Source organism: Homo sapiens, chromosome 2, assembly GCF_000001405.40.
Source record: "Homo sapiens chromosome 2, GRCh38.p14 Primary Assembly".
Classification (NCBI taxonomy): domain Eukaryota; kingdom Metazoa; phylum Chordata; class Mammalia; order Primates; family Hominidae; genus Homo; species Homo sapiens.
In genome coordinates, this window is record NC_000002.12 from 231,757,647 (window position 1) to 231,781,432 (window position 23,786).

At 41.7% G+C, this 23,786-nt stretch overlaps 1 protein-coding gene and 1 pseudogene across 3 annotated transcripts in view, besides 5 other annotated features; one reads left to right on the top strand and one right to left on the bottom strand.

Annotated features, from left to right (window-relative positions):
* The window catches only part of PDE6D (phosphodiesterase 6D), a 48,850-nt gene extending 25,214 nt beyond the window's left edge, over positions 1 to 23,636 (bottom strand). For 2 of the 3 annotated variants that reach the window (NM_001291018.2, NM_002601.4), the window contains exon 1: positions 23,419 to 23,636. In NM_001291018.2, coding sequence (NP_001277947.1) covers positions 23,419 to 23,468 — 50 coding nt within the window. In that variant the 5' untranslated portion in view covers positions 23,469 to 23,636. Of the gene's footprint in view, positions 1 to 21,076; positions 21,855 to 23,418 lie in introns of those variants that run through there. The other variant, NR_110994.2, reaches the window with a different exon arrangement.
* On the top strand, positions 241 to 304 carry RNU6-1342P (RNA, U6 small nuclear 1342, pseudogene; annotated as a pseudogene).
* Positions 22,803 to 22,882: an enhancer, noted in NCBI's record as "active region_17316". NCBI's record gives its function as "activates an Ori minimal core promoter by ATAC-STARR-seq in GM12878 lymphoblastoid cells {active_cell/tissue: GM12878}" and the evidence as "EXISTENCE:reporter gene assay evidence [ECO:0000049][PMID:35858748]".
* Positions 22,803 to 23,049: a biological region, named in NCBI's record as "ReSE screen-validated silencer GRCh37_chr2:232645182-232645405".
* Positions 22,826 to 23,049: a silencer, noted in NCBI's record as "fragment chr2:232645182-232645405 (GRCh37/hg19 assembly coordinates)". NCBI's record gives its function as "represses an EF-1alpha promoter that drives an FKBP-Casp9 reporter gene in an ReSE screen in K562 erythroleukemia cells {active_cell/tissue: K562}" and the evidence as "EXISTENCE:reporter gene assay evidence [ECO:0000049][PMID:32094911]".
* Positions 23,173 to 23,222: a silencer, noted in NCBI's record as "silent region_12446". NCBI's record gives its function as "represses an Ori minimal core promoter by ATAC-STARR-seq in GM12878 lymphoblastoid cells {active_cell/tissue: GM12878}" and the evidence as "EXISTENCE:reporter gene assay evidence [ECO:0000049][PMID:35858748]".
* Positions 23,433 to 23,662: an enhancer, noted in NCBI's record as "active region_17317". NCBI's record gives its function as "activates an Ori minimal core promoter by ATAC-STARR-seq in GM12878 lymphoblastoid cells {active_cell/tissue: GM12878}" and the evidence as "EXISTENCE:reporter gene assay evidence [ECO:0000049][PMID:35858748]".

The following is a 23,786-nucleotide window of genomic DNA, read 5'->3' on the forward strand; positions in this document are numbered from 1 at the left end:
ATTCAGTTATCCTGGGTCAGGATTCACTTTAAACAATATAAAAGCCTATCTAATAATGTTTAATGATAATGAGAAAATGTTCATAATGTATTGATATGTGAACAGGAAGAGTATTTTTTAATTAAAAAGCAGTTTACAAAACATGTATAATGTGATCACAGTTATTAAAAATTATATTTACACATATATTTCCTTTACCAAAGGAATGGCTGTTACAGAAAGTTTGGAAAATAGAGGACAGTGCTTGCTTCGGCAGCACATATACTAAAATTGGAATGATACAGAGAAGATGAGCATGGCCCCTTAAAAAAAAAAGAAAACAAAGGACAAAAAAGAAATAACTGTAATCTTATAACCCACAGATTACTGGGTTTAATATTTTGATGTATATATTTCTAATTTTTGATGCACATATACTTCTCCCCAATAAATGTAATTGTAAAAGTTTTTTTTAGTCATTAGCTTTGCCTATATATCTACCTACCTACCTGTCTGTCTGTCTGTCTAAAACGGCATCTTAGATAGACAGACAGATAGGTAGATAGATAGTGCAGTGGTGCACATGGCTTACTGCAGCTTCAAACTGTTGGGCTCAAGGGATTCTCCTGGCTTGGACTCCTGAGTAGCTAGGATTACAGGCACCCCCAGCTAATTTTTTTTTTGTTTTTTTTTGTAGAGACAAGGTCTCACTATGTTGCCCAGGCTGGCTCAAACTCCTGGGCTCGAGTGATGCCCTTACCTTGGCCTCCCAAAGTGCTGGGATTACAGGCATAAGCCACTGCATCTGGCCACATCAACTTATATATACCTTGTGTTCTAAGAAGCTAGGGCAAATTATAAGAATCATGTACAACAGTGCTTCTCAGCCTTGGCTGCCTATTAGAATCACTTGGGGAACTTCTAAAACTCCTGATTCCTGGACCTGACCTTTCAGACCAATTAGAATCTCTGGAGGTGGAACCCAGGCATCAGTATTTTTCACAGTTCCCCAAGTCATTCCACTGAAGCCAGGGTGGGGAACCATGACTTGACAAAGTGTCTCCTAATCCCTGACCCTTGAGCAAAAGGTGATTTACAACAGGGATTTCTTAAATTTTCATATGCATACCAGTCATCTGGAGATCTTGTTAAAATACAGATTCTGGTTCAGTAGATTGGGGTGGGATCTGAGATTTTGCATTTCTAACTAGCTCCCTGATGATGCCAATGCTACTGCCCCAGGGACCATACTTTGAGTAGCTTTAGGGTACCAGGAAAGAAAACTCTCATAAAGAGTGAAAAGAAAAAAATTATAGCCACTAAAGCCCATACTCTATACCACCAGACAGGAAGGGGTGGTCCACAGTGGATGAACAAAGGGTTGAGGCTGGGAATTAAAAGACATTTCTAGGCCAGGCATGGTGGCTCACGCTTGTAGTCCCAGCACTTTGGGAGGCTGAGGCAGGAAGACTGCTTGAGGCCAGGAGTTCGACACCAGCCTGGGTAACATAGGGAGACAGCATCTCTATTAAAAAAAAAAAATTAGCCAGGCGTGATGGCACATGCCTGTAGTCCCAGCTACTTGGGAAACCGAGGTGGGAGGATTGCTTTAGCCCAGATGTCAAGGCTGCAGTGAGCTGTGTTCATGCCATTGCACTCCAGCCTGGGCGACAAAGTGAGACCCTGTCTCAAAATAAATAAATAAAGCAATTTTAAAGAGGAAAAAAAGGAAAAAGGTATTTCTAGGAAATAAGATTTTAGAGATTGGAAAGGTTTGGAATAACACATTTTTCAGGGGGAAAAACAGCCATTGGAGCTTATTATTCGTGTGTACAAAGGAAGGCAAGCAAGCATGGGGGAGAAGAGGAGCAGGCAGTGAGAGAAAAAGATCAAATGTCTAAAAAATTGTTATGGAAAAAATAAACCCTTGGCTACAGTGCTGGAAAGGGATAGAGAAGCACTATAAAGGGATCTGTGGAATCTATTTCTCTGCCAAAAACATGTTTGGGAAGCAGAAAAGCTAATAAACTGAAGTTGGTATAGATTAATAACCATCTTCCATCAACTCCCTCTTGGGGACATGAAGAGACCCCAGGAGTATAAGTCTCCCGTGGCAGTGCTTTAGGAACTAACAACAAACAGTGAACTACTGCCCAAATGCTTCTCTTTATAAGCAGTAAGAATGGCAAGAAACTCAAACATGGCATCCCTTTGCGGCTTCTTGGCAATATCCTTCTGGGAATTTCTAAACTTCCAGGCAGGCTAGAGACATAGCCCCCAAAACAGGGAAAAAAGTGTTTTTCTCCTGAGGGCTTTCCCATAGAAATGAGAAATGTTTAGTATTTTTTAGAACAATAAGGTAAACATTTAATGTAAAGATATTCATAAGTCACTACCAGACTTTTATACCTCCAAAATAATTTCTAAAAACAATAAAATAGGAAAACCTTCATGTAAATTAGCTGGAGCAATTATTTGAATCAGCTGGTATACTTTATCAGCTGGTCCTTATCAAATGGGTCACATCCAAGTAAATTTCTGTTTAAATCAATAGAAGAAAGTAAGGGGAAGACTTTACCAAGATATGGAAAGAATTCTGTTGTCACATGATTTGTGTTACACATCGCTTAGGTATATGAAACTTTGGCAGAAATGTATACAGTCTTCACATTCAGTATCTATTTACTATATAATGATGATGGCTAAGATGTACTGAGTACTAGATAGTATGCTAATAATTTAGATATTATTCATGTATAAATTAATCCACATAACCCTATGAAATAGGCATTATTATTATAGCTCTTACATGGATGAGGAATCTGTACAGGTTTGAGGATGGTAAGTTTTTGCTTCATTTCATTGCTAAAAGGTCACAAAGCCAGTTAAGTGGTCAAGTTGGTTTTTGACTGCCTGATTCTAACATCTGTGATTTTTAACTTTATATGACACCCCCAGCTATCCTGCATACCCAGTTTGTACCAGGGAGAGACTGAGGGATATAAGATGAATAACTCATGATCCCTAAACTCATGGTACAAGACAAGTAGTTCCTCTAGCACATGAGATTAGAAAGACATTTCCAAATGCTACAGGATACAAGATGCCAGATCAGATTATGCTGCTAGTGTATTCCACAGGTCAAAACCCATATACTTTTGGAGCCCTTGATTTTTAAGTTTTATATAACCTTAATGGGTAAAAGGCAGATTTATAAAAAGGACACGCTGCAAGGCTAGTGACACTATTTTCTAGCTCAGCCAAGCTCTCCAGAAATTACTGAACCACATCAGTCTATATAAAGGTGATAAAGCCCTAACAATGTCCAGGTAACAGATCTAATACCAGTTGAGTGGATGATCTCTTCCATATTCAAGTACTAGCGTGTTGCCTGATAACTTGGTCCATGAATACATTAGAATGGAGACAACAGAAATGAGTCTAAGACTAAGGTTGTGGTCTCTCTTCTGAGACCATTTCTATAAAATCTCCAAAGGCTAAACGGAAATCCCATTGATTGTATTGGCCCAACAATGGCTATAAATCAATAATTCTTTTTTTTTTTTTGAGATGTAGTCTCACTCTGTCGCCCAGGTTGGACTGCAGTGGCGCAATCTCGGCTCACTGCAAGCTCCGCTTCCCAGGTTCACGCCATTCTCCTGCCTCAGCCTCCCGAGTAGCTGGGACTACAAGGTGCCTGCCACCACGCCCGGCTAATTTTTTTGTATTTTTAGTAGAGATGGGGTTTCACCATGTTAGCCAGGATGGTCTCAATCTCCTGACCTCGTGATCCGCCTGCCTTGGCCTCCCAAAGTGCTGGGATTACAGGCGTGAGCCACCAGGCCTGGCCTATGAATCAATAATTCTTAACCTGTGGTTCATTATCAATGCAGACAGATAAAGTCTTAACTATTTTTGCATTTCTCAGGGCTAGCTTTCTAACAGTCTTGTTTAACTTAACTGCAGACAGCATGAGGCCAGGGAAAAGGTGAACAATATTTCTAGCCTTATCTGGCATCTAGCTATATTCATAGTTTAAAGGTAGTCCTCAAAGAAACAAGAGTCAGGGTAAAAGAGCTAATATTTGAGTACCTACTTTCAACATATATGTCACGTGCTGTGCTAACAGTCCCTCTTTTTTATTTTTCAGTCTTATTTAATACTCATACCCACATAAAATACTGGTGCTCCCAGCAGTCAAATATCTTTCTCAGGAACTCACAGCTGGTAAATAACAGAGCTAACATTCAGACAGAGGTCTGTTCACACTACATACCCTTGGGAACAGAAAGGCTCCAGGGAACTGCAGGGTCCTGGGTATCTTTGTGACGACATTCCTCCAGGGCTAGAAGAGCTGAGGGAACTGATGACAGGGTGAGAAAGGCAAGCAGACTTCCTCAAATATACCATGGAAATGGCCCTTTTGCCCTTCCTAACAATGTTCTCTTGGGGATATGCTTAGTAGAGAAGGAAGATGATGTATTGAGTTATTGAATTTGTACTGATCCACATTGAAAACAAAATTCCATTTATGATAACAAAACTTCCCTGTTGTAAGTTGCACTTAAATATTGTGAGCTTAAATATTTCAAAATAATGATCTCCATTGAGTATAGCTATGTGTGTGGCTATTAAAAAGTAGACCTCCTCTTTTCTATCCCTTGAATGAAACTATTTTTTTTTTTAAATCTGAAGTGGATTCAAGGACTAACGCTTTTTTTTTTTTTTTTTTTTTTTTAGACACAGTCTTGCTCTGTCGACCAGGCTGGAGTGCAGTAGTGCGATCTCAGCTCACTGCAACCTCTGCCTCCTGGGTTCAAGTGATTCTCCTGCCTCAGCCTCCCGAGTAGCTGGGATTACAGGTGGGCACCACCATGCCCAGCTAATGTTTGTATTTTTAGTAAGGACAAGGTTTCACCCTGTTGGCCAGGCTGGTCTCAAACTCCTGACCTCAAGTGATCCTCCTGCCTCGCCCTCTCAAAGTGCTGGGATTACAGGTGTGAGCCACCGTGCCTGGCCTAACAATTTGGTTTTAAGAACTGAAGACTTGTAGTGCTGTAAGCAACGCAAAATTATCTTAATGGACGTAGAAGGCTTGTTTGTTTCAAAGTTTTTCATAAAAATATTTCTTACCCTATTCAGCTAATCTTTTGAGAGGACACAGAGGAAACAAGAAAATCTCAGACAGAGATCTTAGGTGCAGTGGCTCACACCTGTAATCCCAGAACTTTGGGAGGCCAAGCCGGGAGGATCAGCTGAGCCCAGGAGTTCAAGACCAGACTGGGCAACATAGTGAGACCCCATCTCTACTAAAAAAAAAAGAAAAGAAAAGAAAATTGCAGCCAGAGAAAGCATTTGGTGGTATGCTCCATATTGCAACATGGAAAAATGCACTGGTTCTAAGAGCAGTTGTTAATATTTGAAATCAATCCTAGCTACTATAGATCTGCTCATGAGAGCAAGTTTAAATAAATAGGTTGACATCTTTGTGCAGTCATTTAGAGCAAGTTCTACATATTCAGCAAGATCAAAACTATATTTTGCAGAAATTCAGAGAGAGTATTTATTAGTATTTATCTGTCTTGCTAGAGAGCCAAAGGAACAGTATTCAGAGTGAATGATGACAAAAAGTTTGTTTTACATGGAGGGTAGCATTATTGCAGTCATCTTGAGTTTCTCACTTAATCATTTCCCTCCAATTCTCCAAAGAGAGCCTCTATTCTCCTTTTTTCCTTGCCTACTACTATAATCATTCCAATCGTCTCATTCATGTATTTACTGCACAAACATGTATTGAGGTACTGTGTATCAGGTGCAAATATTGGGGATTCCACAGCTGTACCACTCAGAATGTGGCCCACAGACTGGTCCTGGTCTGTGAATCCATTTGCTACCAGCCTGTGACATGTGTTTAAAATTTTTAATAACAATACAGCAGAATAATTTATTTGTTGATTTCAATAATAATTTAAAAAAACTTTTATGTCATTTTTCTTTAAAAACTTTTTTTTTCTTTTTTTTTTTTTTAGAGACAGGGTCTCACTCTGTTGCCCAGGCTGGGGTGTAGTGGTATGATTACAGCTCACTGTAACCCCAAATTTTTGGGTTCAAGTGATCTTCCTGCTTCAGCCTCCTGAGTAGCTGGGACTACAGGCATGTGCCACCATGCCTGGATAATTTTTAATTTTTGTTGTTGCTGTTGAGACAGAGTCTATGTTGCTCAGGCCGGTCTTGAATTCCTGGGCTCAAGTGATCCTCCCACTCTGGCCTCCCAAAGTGCTGGGATTACAAGCTTGAGCCACCAGGCCTGGCTTTATGTTATTTTTCTAATAATTAATCTCACTGTATTTTACAAAAATATTGGTCTATGAAGGATTAGAAGTAAAACCCCGATTCTTTTGCCAGCCATAGTTTAAGCAGCATTGTTCTAGGAAACAGGAAGAATAAGATAAGACTTTTGCTCTTGACAAGGTCTTAGTCTAGTCTTGTGTGAGTGTTCAATAAAAAATCTTGCCAGATGTAGTGGCTCAAGCTTGTAATCCCAGCACTTTGGGAGGCCAAGGTAGGAGGATCACTTGAACCCAGGAGTTTGATACCAGCTTGGGCAATATAGTGAGACTGTGTCTCAACAACAACAACAAATTAGCTACATGTGGTGGTGTGTGCCTTTAATCCCAGCTACTTGGGAGGCTGAGGGCAAGATTGCACCACTGCACTACAGCCTGGGCAACAGAGTGAGACCCTGTCTCCAAAAACAACAAAAACTCCTTCCATCCTCATACACATTTCTGAGGAACACAGAAAGTTTAGGCTTTGTAAATAGTTATGGGGAATATTAATTTTTTTCTAATGAGCTATTAATAGGTTAAAAGGACAACAGAGAAGGGTGAGATAAGAAAGGCTGTCAACAGAAAGGATAGTTTGATAAAGAACAGGAAATCAACAGGCAACCAGGAGGCCAGCATGTGTAACAAATTGCTATATGCCTCAGGTGAAGAAGTCAAGATGGCAAATCAAGGCTTACTGGAGGAAGACACTGAGTCCAGTCTCTGCCATACATTCCATTCTCCAAAGTGTTGTTTGTTACAGCATCACCTCCTATCCTGGCCACTTGTTTATACCTGTGTCACAGTACTTATCGGAGAGTACCATGAATATATTAGTTTGCAAGTCAAATTCTACTGACACTATATTATTTATCTTTCTCTTCTCAGTGCTCAGCATGTAACTGACACTCAAATATGTGTTGAATCACACTAAGCAATAGAGGGAGAGTTCATTAGAATTCTCTTCAGGCTGAGCAACCACAAGCGATGCTTTCAGGGTCCAGTGGACTGTAAAAAGGGCAATTCAGGCTGGGTGCAGTGGCACATGCCTGTAATACCAACACTTTGGGAGGCCAAAGCAGGAAGACTGCTTGAGCCCAGGAATCCAAGACCAGCCTGGGCAACACAGTGAGATTCCATCTCCACGGAAGGGAAAAAAAAAAAAAAAGACAAATTAGCCATACAGTGGTGCGTGCCTATAGTCCCAGCTACTCAGAAAGCTGAGGCAGGAGGACTGCTTGAGCCCAGGATTTCAAGGCTGCAATGAGCCAGGATCTTACCACTGCACTTCAGCCTGGGTGGCAAAGCAAGATCCTATCTCAAAAAAAATAAAAAATAAAAAAGTGGGAGGGGGGCAACTTAAACCTGGAACTCAGAAAGAAAAAAAAAGCAAAAACCAACCCACCAACGAACCAAAAAACCTCCACTCTCCCTAAGGACAACACCTAAGTCAGTCAGCTGAATTGCAAGTAACAATATATTAGAATTTAAAAGCCCATTCTGCATTAAGTTTGAATTCATGACTTGACAGAGTACTCATAAATTATATATGGGCATGTGGCTCTGAGTAATTTCCAGGTAAGTATATTTTTCAGGCAAAATGGCTGACTAAGCATATAATGATATATGCTAATGTCTACTATGGCAGACCAGAGCACTATGAGGCAAAGCTTCAAAACCAAGGTCACAGGCATAAAGAAAAACCTCTCCCTTCTCATTACTTTGGGGTGGAAGCAGCTGCAATGACTAGCAGTAAACAAAGGGAGTTTCTATTTGGTGGTATCCTGAGCATTTTCATTACAGGGCTGTCTGTCTTTACTCTGTTTTCATAGTTTTTGGTTGTGGCTTTTTTCTTCCTGTTCTCTATCTTTTCACACTTTGCCTTTATGATCTCTCCCCTCTCAAACTCTCTCCTCCTTGTTTCCTTTCTGAACTCATTTCCTTCTCTTACTCCCACTTTCTTCATTAATTCTTAAATACCACTTATGTCAGAGCCCTCTTATGCTTCTGCCTTAGTGTTGGTTATACAGAGCATTCTGCCTTTAGTTCCTTCTTAAGGACCAATTCTAATTCACGGTCATTTAAATGCATTTCTCCACCCAATAATTTCCCAGTGATTTTCCCATTTATGGGGGATAAGATGAGAAAATATAAATGGATCTCTGAGAACCCAGGTTTCAGTATCCTTGAAACATAATATGCAGCATTGTAATCAGTGGTGATATCCCCGTGAAATAATACTCTTGTGCTGGCAAAGTTACTATGCTTGGAAAGTATACAATCAAAATTCAAACTGGCCTGGGAAACAGTGGAGGCAAGTAATTTAGTAATGAGAAAAAGATCAGTATTTGAAACATAACACAGTCTTCTCCCTAGCAAAGTCAAACAATAACGCAAACCTTTCTTTTTTCTAGTCAGCCCATTATCCTACTGACATGTACAGTTATGTGCCTGGAACTGGTCAGAAACAAGCTAGAAGAGACATATCCAAAGAGATTCTTAGAGGCTCCCTTTGCACTTTTATTTGCTTCCCAGCACCTCCTGACTGAGGAAGAAATAATACAAGGCCTTTTCCCAAGGGCATGTTCCCAAAAGGGCCACTGTTTCTTTCAGGTTATTTGGAGGCACAGGGATATTGCCTTGAATCCTGTCAAAATCTACATTCAGATTCCTGAATTTCACCCAGTTTTTAAAAAATGCTATAGTATTGGGAAGAAACTCAACTCCTTCAAATTATAACTCTTAAAAAAATGAAAGCTGGCGGGGCATGGTGGCTCATGCCTATTATCCCAGTACTTTGGAAGGCTGAGAAGGGTGGATCATCTGAGGTCAGGGGGAGTTTGAGACCAGTCTGGCCAACTGAAACCCTGTCTCTACTAAAAATACAAAAATCAGTTGGGCATGGTAGTGCATGCCTGTAATCCCAGCTACTCGGGAGGCTGAGGCTACTCGGGATGGCTGGAATCCGGGAGGCGGAGGTTGCAGGGAGCTGAGATCACGCCACTGCACTCCAGCCTGGGTGACAGAGCGAGACTCCGTCTCAAAAAAAAAAAAAAAAAAAAAAAAAGCTAAGTCAAAGATGATTCTGGTTTTTCAGTGTCATCTGGGGGTTTCTTCTGTTGTCACTCCAAGAGCCACAATTAATTCCCAGAAATGTGAAAAAAGGCTCACAGGTATCGAAGCTAAAGTAAAAAACAATCACTAAGGCTCTGACTTTTCTGATATCCTACTTTAAAGCAAAGGTAAATAATGATTGTAATAATGTAATAGCAAGCATAGTGCATTTGAAGAGCTATGGTTTTTAAATTGAGTTGGCATGTATTATTTCGTTCAAATTTCATAACATCTCCATCAAACAGCATGCATTATCCTTGTTTTTTTTTTTTGAGACAGAGTCTCCGTTGCCAAGGCTGGAGTGCAGTGGTGCGATCTTGGCTCACTGCAAGCTCTGCCTCCCAGGTTCATGCCCTTCTCTTGCCTCAGCTTCCTGAGTAGCTGGGACTACAGGCGCCCGCCACCACGCCTGGCTAATTTTTTGTGTTTTTAGCACAGACAGGGTTTCACCGAGTTAGCCAGGATGGTCTCAATCTCCTGACCTTGTGATCTGCCCGCCTTGGCCTCCCAAAGTGCTGGGATTACGGTGTGAGCCACCGCACCCAACCACTTTATCCTTGTTTTACAGATATTAAGTGACTTGTACAAAGTCAGCTTAAATAAGTGATTTCCATTATTTAATGAATTCTATCTACCCACTCAAGCTGCTCCCCTAATATCTGCTTTCTTAGGCCACCAGATTTCTTGAAAGAGTAATCTATTATTTCTGACTTTATTTCCTCATGTATTCATTTTCTAATCTTGAAAGATTATACTTTGTTTCTTTAACTATTCTTTTTTTTTTTTTTTTCCAGACAAGTTCTTGCTCTGTGGCCCAGAGTGGAGTGCAGTAGCCAGTGGCACAATCTTGGCTCACTGCAATCTCTGCCTCCTGGGCTCAAGTGATACTCCTACCTCAGCCTCCCGAGTAGCTGGGACTACAGGCACACACTACCATGCCTGGCTAATTTTTGTATTTTTGGTAGAGGCAGGGTTTCACCATGTTCCCAGGCTGGTCTCAAACTCCTGAGCTCAAGGGATCCATACACCTTAGCCTCCCAAAGTGTTGGGATTACAGGTGTGAGCCACTGTATCTGCCACTATCTATTATTCTTAAAAAGATCACAATGACCTATAAGGTATCATGGGACTCTCAGCTGATTCTTAAATATCATTAATGAATAAAATTTCAAAGAATTCCAAGAATTTGTTTGGTCCTCATCCTTCCTCATTCCTGACTCCAACTCACTCTTGAAACACTTTCCTTCCTCTGTTACTCCCTACTGTCATAAAGATTAAACTGGGTAACACCTCATCTTTTAAGATCCTATTCAAGTGATAATCCTTTTGTTGTTGTTGTTGTTGAGATGGAGTCTCCCTCTGTCGTACATGCTGGAGTGCGGTGGCGTGATCTTGGCTCACTGCAACCTCCACCCAGGTTCAGGCGATTCTCCTGCCTCAGCCTCTTGAGTTGCTGGGATTACAAGCATGCACCACCACGCCCAGCTAATTTTTGTATTTTTAGTAGAGACAGGGTTTCACCATGTTGAAACCATGGGCCAGGCTGGTCTCCAACTCCTGACTTCAAGTGATCCACCCGCCTCAGCCTCCCAAAGTTCTGGGATTACGGGCGTGAGCCACCGCGCCCGACCTCAAGTGATAATTCTTGAAGTCTCCCACAACACCCCTAGTAGGAGTCACCCTTTCTCTGAGTTTCCACAGTACTTGATACTACTCGGCATGTAACACATTGCATTCTGATTGTTATGGTCTCTTTCTCTCTCCCTTATATAATACAAGTTATTTGGTCATGGAAACTGGTTTATCATTTTCTTTTTTTTGAGCGGGAGTTTCGCTCTTGTTGCCCAGGCTGGAGTGCAATGGCACGATCTCACCTCACTGCAACCTCCGCCTCCTGGGTTTAAGCGATTCTCCTGTCTCAGCCTCCCGAGTAGCTGGGATTACAGGCACACGCTACCACGCCCGGCTCATTTTGGTATTTTTAGTGGTGACGGGGTTTCATCATACTGGTCAGGCTGGTCTCGAACTCCTGACCTCATGTGATCCGCCCACCTTGGCCTCCCAAAATGTTGGGATTACAGGCGTGAGCCACCATGCCTGGCCTGCTTTATCATTTTCTTTCTCTTTGGTTTAGCAGATGATATGCCACGTACAGATTCTGTTAACAAATGTCTGAATGAATGGCCAGTGAGTGGCAGCACTATGACCAGAACGCAGCTTTTCTGGTTCCTTTGTCTTTGCTCCTTAGGCAGAAGATGGCTCAAAAGCAATTAAGGCTTACAGTTACATTTCTCACTTCCTATTTCATGAAAATGCTGAATCTCAGATTTAGTCCCTTTTTCTTAATCTTTAGCAGTGACCTGGTGAAAACCATACTTTTCACACAGAGTAGTCACCTAGGTAGCAGTGCCACACATGGCATAATTATGACTATCCTACAATTTGCTCTCTCTCTCTCTCTCTCACACACACACACAGAGATATGTATATATATATATACACATACACACACAGATATACATATACACACACATGCACACAGACACACACAAACACACAGTTTCTAGAGATGGGGTCTTGCTCTGTTGCCCAGGCTGGAATGAAGAGGCACAATCATAGCTCACTGTAGCCTCGAATTCCTGAGCTCAAGTGATCCTCCTGCCTCAGCCTCCTGAATAGCTGAGACCACAGATGGGACCACATTTTTTAACAGAGAATCACAGAAAAGGAAATAGTCTGTTAGATTCTTATCTCAATCCATAAATACTTAAGGGGCCTTTGAAACAAACTCTAAATGCATAATAACACTCTGTAACAGGAACCCTCGAGTTGGTTCTATAAGCTACCCACAATATACTTTCACCTGATATTTTTCATAGACATTTAAGGAAAAGGTTTCAAAATGAAACTGAAATAAGCTGGTCACAAGGTAGCCTTGTGTATTCTGAACAAAGCCAGGACATGTTTGTTTATCCATGCTAGTATCCAAGACTTTTTCACCTTTTTTTCCCTATTAACGAGATTATCTGAATTGCTCATCTGAAAACAACTTCGTTGTGGGATAAATTTTGTGTTACTTTATTGGACAAAACTATATGGACACAATCTTGTGCTTATCAGACTTGAGTAACAACCTCCTATGTTTGATCATCACTGAAGTTGCTAATCAGACCCCTATGAGTAGCCATCTCTTGACTACAGAGGACAATGTTTAAGAGGACTGTGCTTAAGATGAAAAAAATATGAAAACAAGAATATATCCACCTGCTGCTTAAGTATTTTCTGGAAAATGTCTTTTTTTCCTCTGGTAACTCTAATTGTTAAAAAATTCATTATCCTGGGCTAAACCCTGGCCCCTGTATCTGGTGAATTGAGGGAAAAAAAAGAATATAGGAGATATGACCACATTAGAAGAGGATAATTTTCAAGTGAAAAATAAATCTGGCTGTGACTTAAACACTGAGACAAGGGCTGGGCATGGTGGCTCATGTCTGTTAATTCCAGCACTTGGGGAGGCCAAGGCAGTCAGATCACTTGAGCCCAAGAGTTCAAGACCAGCCTGGGCAACATGGCAAAATCTGGTCTCTAAAAAAATAACAAAAATTGGCCGGGTATGGTGGCTCACACCTGTAATCCCAGCACTTTGGGAAGCTGAGGTGAATGGATCACCTGAGGTCAGGAGTTTGAGACGGGTCTGGCCAACGTGGTGAAACCCTGTCTCTACTAAAAATACAAAAATTAGCTGGGTGTGGTGGCAGGCGCCTGTAATCCCAGCTGCTCGGGAGACTGAGGCAGGAGAATTGCTTGAACCTGGGAGGCAGAGGTTGCAGTGAGTTGAGATCGCGCCATTGCACTCCAGCCTGGGTGACAAGAGTGAGACTTCATTTCAAAAAAAAAAAAACCCACAAAAATTAGCCAAGCATGATGGTGTGCACCTGTAGTCCCAGTTATCTGAGAGGCTGAGGTGGGAGGATCACTTGAGCCTGGGAGGTTAAGGCTGCAGTGAGCTGAGAAATTTTTTTTTTTTTTTGAGCAACCTCTGCCTCCCGGGTTCAAGCGATTCTTGTGCCTCAGCCTCCCAAATAGCTTCTGTGGGGTTTGGCGTGTTGGCCAGGCTGGTCTCGAACTCCTGACCTCAAGTGATCTGCCCACTTAGGCCTCCCAAAGTGCTGGGATTACAGGCGTGAGCCACCTTGCTCAGCCAAGCTGAGAAAAATTTAAAACTCAAAATTAATAATACAACAACAAAAGAATAAATTCTCCAGAGAGGCATCATGGTATACTGTAGAAAACATGGACTTTTAAAAAGACAAAACAAGGCTTAAATTAAGGTTCTGCCTTCGTCTAAGTGACTGCCTCGTCGATCCTCAATTCCTTAGTCTATAAAGTGAGGATAACAATGAATAGGGTTGTTGTGATAATGCAGTAATATATCAAAGTTCTTTAAAAACCGAAAAGCAGTATAGAATTATGAGATATTACTAGACCATGCTGTTTCTTCTTGTGGCTATATTTACAGTGCTAATTTATATTACAGCTATTTATGTTTCATTCTCTAAATGTTATCTAAATTCAGAGGCAATAATTGCTCTCCTTGACTCTGAATCAGTTGTATCCACAATGCACTAAACCAAACACTTCAATACTGAGTGTCTCAGAGTTGTGTCAGAAACAAAAAGGAAACAATTGGGTCACAAAAAAACTTTTTGCCGATTTTAGGTGTAGAACATATCTCAATATAAACATTTGCCAAAAAAAGTACTTGTTAAGTAAGAAAGGCTGTCACCAAATCAAAGAATTGTAGTGCTGGAAAAGGATTTGAGTATTTCTGTAGATCATCTACTGTAATACACATTTGATACATACAAAATTTCCCTCTGCAACACTCTTGACAGACAGGCATCTATCTGCTGCTTAAAACACTTTCTGGAAAATGTCTTTTTTCAGGTAATTCTACTAATTGTTAGAAACTGGCCTAAACTCTGTCACCTGTAATTTCTACCCCGCAAATCTTGTACTTCCTCTGAGAGCTACACAGCAACATTTAATTCTTCCTCTTTAGAACAGTTGTTTTTTTTTTTTAACTTTAGAAGAGAATACTCATATCTCTTGTCCAACTCTTTTCATCTTTAGGTTAAACTCCCTTCAGTTCCCCCATTATTGAATGTATGCCATGTTTCAAGTGGCCCACCTTTATACCAGCTCCACTTTCCCCTGCCTCCCTTTGCAGTAGACTAAACAAGCTTTCATGTGTCCTACGGTGAGACCATCGCCTTCTTTGCCATAAACAGTAAGCTTTAGTCCAATCCATTGAAATCTTTGTGGATATTGGACTGTAAGAAATATATTTGCTTTTCTTCCCAGCTCCAAAATTATAAGCAGGTCAAAAGCAAAAAAGAATGCTGCTCTCAGAACTTTGACAATTTGAGTTTTACGCATTCAAGCAATTATTAGAATAGTCAGGCTGCTGGAGAAGATGGCCTTAAAATTCCTTCCTATGATGCTAGGCTTTAGCTCAGGAATAGAGAGGGATAGGTCTATAAGTCAAATCCTCTCATAACACGAGGATTTGTGGATGCAGAATGCTGACAAGTGAGGCCTGGGAGGCAAAACTGAGGTCAACCCTAGTAAGAACCTAGAGCTTCCAAGCCTCAGAACCATTGCTAGTCCTTTATCAAATGTAGTGGTGATACAACTGGAATTCTCCATGACAGTTTTACCGTGTTCTGTCCCATTTCTCCAGAAGTTACTGTAATGTTTCATTATAAACCATATACACAACCCTGGCAAGAAACTTAGAAAGTCAGTAGAAGACTATAAATATCTAATTATACACTAAATTCCTTCCAAAAAACAAAAGCAGGAATGCCTGTTTAAGAATCCTAAGTAAGGCCGGGCGTGGTGGCTCACGTCTGTAATCCTAGCACTTTGGGAAGCCAAGGTGGGCAAATCACTTGAGCCCAGAAGTTCAAGACCAGCCTGGGCAACATAGTGAAACCGTTTCTCTACAAAGAAAAAATACGAAAATTAGCTGGGTATAGTGGTGCACACCTGTGCACCCAGGCACTCAGGAGGGTGAGGCAGAGGATCATCTGAGCCTGGGAGGTCAAGGCTGCAGTAAGCTATGATAGCACCAGCCTGGATGACAATGAGACCCTGTCGCAGAAAAGAAAAAAAGAATCCTAAGATAATCAATAGGACATTATATTCATTTAATCCATTCAGGATAACAATACAAACTCTCAAGAGTCCATGCATGAGGAAACAAGCTACCAATCACAATCTACATGAAACTGGGCTTTATGAGTGGTATGTCTGGTTGCTTTCCAAGACTTTGGGTTGTCAGACAAAACCTATATTATGGGAAATAATAAACCTCAAATTCATTTTTAACATTTGGCCAAGGCAACTGTACCAGGGAATACTGACTTTCAAGAGAAGTTCTACAGTCGACTTTTCTTAATATGTCTACTATTCTTATTCTTTATTCTAAGTGAGTAAATAGAAGATGTAAAGCCAACTGTTTTTTGATTGGAAGCAAAGTCAAGGATTAAGGTACTATGAGAAAGAAGATACAGGGATTCCAGGACCAAACTATGGGAGAAGAAATGTAAGAAAACAAGTGAAAGATGCTTTCAGAAACCTTCTGAGCCCAAACTCTTTTTGCTAACCTGCCATAAATTAGAATGAGATTCATTTTCTAGACAAGATAAACATGAGGTATATATCAATGCTTATTGAATCATTTATTCAGAGGCAAAATGGAAATACGATAGTTTTTCAGTAAGAAAATATAACTAGAATGAAGGCATTAGTTATATCTCAGAGAAATAAGTAGCTTTACAATCATATTAACACTATTGTCATTATTATTATTATTATTATTGAGATGGAGTCTCACTCTGTTACCCAGGCTGGAGTGCACTGGCGTGATCTCGGCTCACTGCAACCTCCACCTCCTGGGTTCAAGCAATTCTCCTGCCTCAGCCTCCCGAGTAGCTGGGATTACAGGTGCACACCACTACGCCTGACTAATTTTGTATTTTTAGTAGAGACGGGATTTCACCATGTTGGCCAGGCTGGTCTTGAATGCCCAAACTCAGGTGATCCACCCACCTCGGCCTCCCAAAGAGCTGGGATTACAGGCATGAACCACTATACCTGGCCTGTCATTATTATTAGTAATTATTAATAAAATGAATGGCAGCAGATATTACTATATGCCAGGCCCTGAACCAAACATCTTTTATGCAGTTTCATTTAATTCTCAAAACAACCCTCTGATAATATGAGATACAGATGCTGAGGCTCAGAGTCTGAGTGTTCTGTTGAGAGTCACAATAGCAGAGGCAGTAAGTCTAAACCTTGGAAGTGAGCCCATACTCTCAACCACTGTGCTATATACTCTACTGCAGTAATGTGTAAACATTTGATAGATACCAATTACTTTCTACAGACACTACACACACACACATAAACCAAATGAGAGTGCCCCTTTCCCTCAATGTTGTGAACACTGAATATTATCTTTTTTTTTTTTTGAGACTGAGTCTCTCTCTGTCACCCAGGCTGGAGTGCAGTGGTGCAATCTCGGCTCATTGCAACCTTGGCCTCCCAGGTTCAAGTGATTCTTCTGCCTCAGGCACCCTAATAATAGCTGGGATTACAGCTGTCCACACCATGCCCAGCTAATTTTTGTATTTTTAGTAGAGACGGGGTTTCACCATGTTGGCCAGGCTGGCCTCGAATCCCTGACCTCAAGTAATCCGCCCACCTTGGCCTCCCAAAGTGCTGGCATTACAGGCATGAGCCACTGTGCCTGGCATCTTTTTTTTTTTTAATAAATTTTTATTTTTATTTTTTTTGAGACAGAGTCTCACTCTGTAGCCCAGGCTGGAGTGCAGTGGTGTGATCTCAGCTCACTGCAACCTCTGCCTCCTGGGTTCAAGCAATTGTCCTGCCTCTGCCTCTTGAGCAGCTGGGATTACAGGCGTGTGCCACCAAGTTTGGCTAATTTTTTGTATTTTTAATAGAGAGGGAGTTTTGCTATGTTGGGCAGGCTGGTCTCAAACTCTTGGCCTCAAGTGATCTGCCCACCTTGGTCTCCCAAAGTGTTGGGATTACAGGCGTGAACCACTGTGCCTGGCCTAATTTTTAATTTTATTTTCGTACAGTGCCACTTTCAGGATATACATATATATTATCAATCTTTTAAATCTGTGTCAATTAATTGGGAAGAGATAGTCCATTATTATTATTATTGACAGGGTCTCACTCTGTTACCCTGGTTGGAATGCAGTGGGGCACAGTCTTGGCTCACTGCGACCTCCACCTCCCAGGCTCAGGTGATCCCCTCACCTCAGCCTCCCAGTAGCTGGGACCACAAGCATGCACCACCACACCTGGCTAATTTTTGTGTGTGTTTTTTTTTTTTTTTTGTAGAGGCGGGGTCTTGCCATGTTGCCTAGGCTGGTCTCAAACTTCTAGGCTCAAGCAATCCACCCACCTTGGCCTCCCAAAGTGCTGGGATTACAGGCATGAGCCCCTGCACCCGGAAGATAGTCTATTATTTTAACAAGGTTGAGCATGTCCTCATTTATTCATTGGTCATCTGCTTTTTCTTCTAGGAACTGCTTGTTCATATCCTTTGTCCACTTTGAGTTAAATGCTTATCCTATTGATTTGTAGGCAGCCATTTATATTCTGGATATTATAATATCTGACGTATAAATGAATTAAATAAATAAATGGAGACAATAAGCCAATATTAAAAAAAAGCTACATTACTACTCTGTATCTTATACCAAAGAAAATTCAGATGGATTAAAGATAATGAAATCATAAAAGCATAATTCATTCTTATGGAAGTCTGTCAGTTTCTTGTTAATTTAATAAAGTTATATTTTTATGTTGATGAAAAAGCTATTCAAATAGGCAAAACAGTAGATACAGACTATACTAGAAAGCTAGTATAAGAGTACTGTGACAAATGCTAGGTGCAGTGGCTCACGCCTGTAATCCCAGCACTTTGGGAGGCCTGAGGTCAGGAGTTCGAGACCAGCCTGGCCAACATGGCGAAACCCCCTCTCTACTAAAAATACAAAAATTAGCCGGGCGTGGTGGCAGGTGCCTGTAATCCCAGCTACTTGGGAGGCTGAGGCAGGAGAATCGCTTGAACTCCGGAGGTAGAGGTTGCAGTGAGTTGAGATCACATCACTGCACTCCAGCCGGGGTGACAAGAGCAAGACTCCGTCTCAAAAAAAAAAAAAAAAAAAAAAGAGTACTGTGACAAATCTGTCAGTGAAAGCAACTGAAAGTAACTATCTTTGGAAATCATAAACATGGTAAATCTATTATTAAGTGAACAAAGTAAGTTACAAAGTGATATTTACAATTCCATTTTTATAAAAAACACATTAAACATTAGCTACATTAGAAGGCTATATTAAATAATATTTACAAAGGTCACTCTAGGTGGCTGGCGTTTGTAATAGGAAAATTAAATAGAATTTTAAAAAATGCATTGCTTTTGAAGATATTCCTTCTAAACAGACATAAAGCTGGTTAAGCTTCTGGAAAGAAGGGACTGTAAGTTATTCATTTTTGTATCCTTCAAGTGTAGAGTGCCCTATACATAATAGTCACCCAACAGACCTTTGTTGAAGGAACGAAATGGGAAACGTGGGATTTACAAACATCAATCTCTATGTCAGCTGCTTAAAATAATCAAATCCAAAATATTTGCAGGAGAATCATATTGTTCCCCAAGTAACATTTCATTCATAACATTAATTTACAATTAGGAAATGTTATGCTTTTAACAAACAAGAAAGAAATGCAAGGTTCTTAATGTGTATGAGAGCCTTGCATTTCTTGAGAGGTAGTATAGCGCCACAGTCCAGTATAGCTCTTAACCACTATGCTATATTACCTTGTATGGATCTAGGGATCCAGGAAAATACAAATCGAAACAATGTGTTGTCCAAACTGGCAAAAATAAAAAAGATTGACCTAGTCAACGTGGAAAACTGAGTACTATCAACACTGTTGGCAGGAGATCATAATGGTGCTCTTTTTGTAGTGATAAACTCTTCTCACAAAAACAGATACTCTGAAAGAGGTAGGGTGAGATGGGGTGAAGGTGATACAAGAATAAAATCTTATAAGATTTTGTTTTTGAAACAACTGATGGCAAATACAAAGCTTCTACTGAATTCACTCAGACCATGCCTAATTTATGCATACAGTATTCACTTTTATGCAGTATCTTTAAATTTTTTTTTTTTAGAGTTGGGGGTCTCGCTATGTTGGCCAGGTTGGTCTTGAACTCCTGGCCTTGAGCAATCCTCCCACCTAGGCCTCCCAAAGTGCTGGGATTACAGGTGTGAGTCACCATGCCCAGCCAAGTCCTCATGTTTCTATCTACTATGGGCATATGGGCAAGCTTCCATGTGAACAAAAGGGGCACATATTTGTAGGGACCTTAAACACACATATTATGTTAGTCACAGACCATTCTATTGTAAACTATACTAAATCATATTATAAAGCTATAATAATTCAATCAAATGTGTATAGGTACAAGAAGAGACAAATAGATCAATGAAACAGAAATAATCCAAAAAAAAACCTATGTCTTATGAAAATTTAGTATATGACAAGGATGGCATTTCAAAACAGTGAGGAAAAGATGGACTAACTACTTAGTAAATAGTACTGGAACTATTGGCTATCCAAACAGCAGAAGTACTTAGATGTCTACCACATACCAAATGTGTAAATACGTTCCAGGTGGATTAAAGAGCTAAACATTGAAAAGAGAAGAAAAGATAGGATATTTAGTTAATCTTGGGATAAGAAAGATCTTTTTAAACAAGATACAAAATGCAAAAGCCAGATGGCAAATATTAATAAATTTGAGGCCAGGCACGGTGGCTCATGCCTGTAATCCCAGCACTTTGGGAGGCAGAGGCAGGCAGATCATGAGGTCAGGTGTTTGAGAACAGCTTGGCCAACATGGTGAAACCCCATCTCTATTAAAAATACAAAAATTAGCTGGGCATGGTGGCATGCACCTGTAATCCCAGCTACTCAGGAGGCTGAGGCAGGAGAATTGCTTGAACCTGGGAGGCGGAGGTTGCAGTGAGCCAAGATTGCGCCACTGCATTCCAACTTGGGCAACAGACCAAGACTCCGTCTCAAACAAATGAAATAAAATAAATTTGAAATGACAATTTAAAAATTCTGTTCAACAAAAAAGGAGACAATACATTGAAAGAAAATATTTGCAAAATACATAATAGGCAAAGGATTGATATTACAATATGTAAAGAACATCTACAAATAAGAAAAATAAACAATAGTAAAATGGGCAAAAACAAAATTAACAAACAATTTACAGAAGAAAAAGAAATGGCCAAATAGAAGAGATGTGCAACTTCTCTAATAATAACAAGAATAACACTGGCTAAAGCATAATGCTCACTGTGGATCAGGTGCTTTTCTAAATGCTTTAGATATCAACTCATTTACTCTTACAGCCCCATGAGATAGGTACTATTATTTTCCCCATCTTACAGATAAGAAAATTGAGGTGAGGTTAAAGCAGTTGCTCAGGGACACACAACTAGGAGCGCAGGGCTGGAATTCCAATGCAGGCAGTATAGAGACATAGTCCAGTATAGCTCTTAACCACTATGCTACATTACCTTTTCATGGATCTAGGGATCCAGAAGAATACCAATTAAAACAATGTATCATTTGTTATCCAAACTGGCAAATAAAAAAGACTGACCTAGTCAACGTGGAAAACTGAGTACTATCAACACTGCTGGTGGGAGAACATAATGGTGCTCTTTTTGCAGTGATAAACTATTCTTACAGAAACAGATACTCTGAAAGAAAGTTCAGAAAATCTATTTACCCAATAAAAGGTGGACAATAGTCAGTTTCTTACTAAAACATTAATTTTACTTTTTCCTGAAGGTAGTAGCATATCTTAACATTCCTGCTTTTCTTTTCTCTCTTACTCCACAAATGCCCAGTAAAGGCTACCAGAGGATGAGCACGCCACTGCTCTCATGCTAACTTTTTGATGTGGCTGCTTCCCTTGTGCTTCAGGATTTAATCAGCTCAGGTCAAGCTTTTCCCAAAAGCCTGTTTCTGGATGCACTAACATCACTGAATCGGTTGATTCGCTTTTCCTTCCAGTGGGCTGACACAGATTCTGCTTTCTGAAACTCTTTTCCGTATTTGTCTCTTATCCTCTTTCTCAACAGGTTCAAGAGCTAAGACTGAAGGTGAGAAGCTCAAACTTTTCTGCTTTGTTCAAAAGCCATTAAAAAGGCCTTTCTTCTTTTCAGCAATACGGTATTTCCAATCAGATGAAAACGTTGCTTCTGAAATCTCTCAATTCTCCAGTTTCCGGTTTACTGTCTACAAAGCATGTTAAGTAGCAATATTATTACATTGTTAGATGTTAATAGTATAAATTATTTGAGGGAAAAATAAAATCCATGTCATAGCTTTTCCAGCACTTCAGTCATCCCTATATACCTATTTGATCCATTATGGAGAGAAACACAGAAAGGCACATGGAGCTATAAAAGAGGCTGCTACTAAACCAAAACATGAAAGTACTGAAAGTTTATCACAGATGGTAGTATGCAAAGGTGATACAGCCTTTAGTTTTTTTAAAAAGCATAGATCAATTTCCATTCGAAAAATCTCACTTGTACATCCAAAACTTCCTTTTTGCACTGTGGTCTAAAATGTATTACCAACTTGGTTTCTGATTATAGCAAAGCAATTAAATTTGCAAGCGTGACATGGACATTGTGAAAACGCAACAGAATACCAAGAAAACAGTGCTTTACTAAACCTCCAAGGGAGGAGCCCTGAAGTGGTGACTACCTTTTCACTGAGGGAGCAATTTAAGAACGTTCGTACTATAGATTACAGATAGGATGCATGAAGAGATTAAAGTTGGCAGGAGAATGGAAAATTTGAATATCCAAGTTTGCATTTTTTCATCTGCATCATATGGTGACAGACTAACACACTCCACGAAAACACAAAGCTTCCTTACGGAGAGGATGCAAAAGGGGCACCACAACAGGCCCGAGGCAATGATTTCTCTACCCCACTCTATCCTACCGTGGCCCCAGCGACATCACACCATTGCTGGACAGCTCCACCACAGCTAGGCATAACCGCACCGACAGGAGCGAGCAAAGACACCTCGGCTAGGAGTCCCAGCGCGAGGCACCCCACACCTAAGCCTATGGTCCTCATCTTGCTGGAAAGAAAACTGAGGCGCTGAGGGGGAAGCAGTGACCAATGCCTGAGAAGGCCAAGAGTGTTAAGACGAGGTCGATCTTGGACTTCTCTTTCCCCACCTCCCCCAACTACTCCAGTCCTGGAAGAAGCCACAAGTTTGGAAGAGAAGTTGTGGAAACCAGACGGGGGTGGGGTGCGGTGCGGTGCGGTGGGGGACCTGAGAGAGTTTTAAAAGCACTGGTATTTGTCCCACACAAGGTCGCCCGCTCCAAGTCACTGTTCCCCGCTCCCCGGGTAGGCTTATAGCCAAAGAGGCTTCTAGGCTTCGAGATCAGCCCACCGCGCCCCCTCAGCCCTTCTCCGCGGGCCGCAGCCCCATCCCGGCCTCTGGGTCCCGGCCGGGGATCGGAACCCAGCCGGCTTCTCCGACAGCGTTTCCGACGCCCGGCACCTCTCGCAGCCCCGTCCCCCAGGCTCCCCCGTCTCCACCCGCCACCCCCCGGCGCTCCCGTCAACGTCCCCTTCCTCCCTCAGGACGCCCCTTGGGGCGCCTCTCGCGCCGGGTCCCGCCGGGTGCTCGGCACGCTGTTCCTTTCCTCTCCCCTCCCGCGGCCCTTCTTCTGTGGGGCCCACCTGGCGCGGCCCCCGCCCCCGGCCAGTCTCCTCAGTGAGCGGCCGCCTCCCAAGTCCTCCCGGCCCCGCCCCGCTCCCGGACGGATACAGTTTGAAGCCCCTCAGGATCTCCCTGGCCCGCTCGTCCTTGGCTGACATGATGCGGCGGTCGCCGCCCGCGGCTTTCTCACTCTGGTCGGCGGAGCCTCGCAGACGGTGCCCAGGAGCCGAGGATGGAGCCGCAGCCCGGCTTGGAGACCTCGGGCTAGCAGCCGCAGCGGCCAGACCAGGACCGGCCTCTCTCTCCCCTCAGCTCCCGCTTCTGATCCCTTCTCCTTCCCCCTAGCCTCGCAGTGCCCTCCTGGAACCAATGGAAAGCCAGCCTTGGCGATTGGCATCTCAACCAGCCAGTAGGAGCGCGCAGCGGCTTCGCAGGGGGACTGTTAACGTCAATGGGAAGGGCCCTCCCCGGGAAGT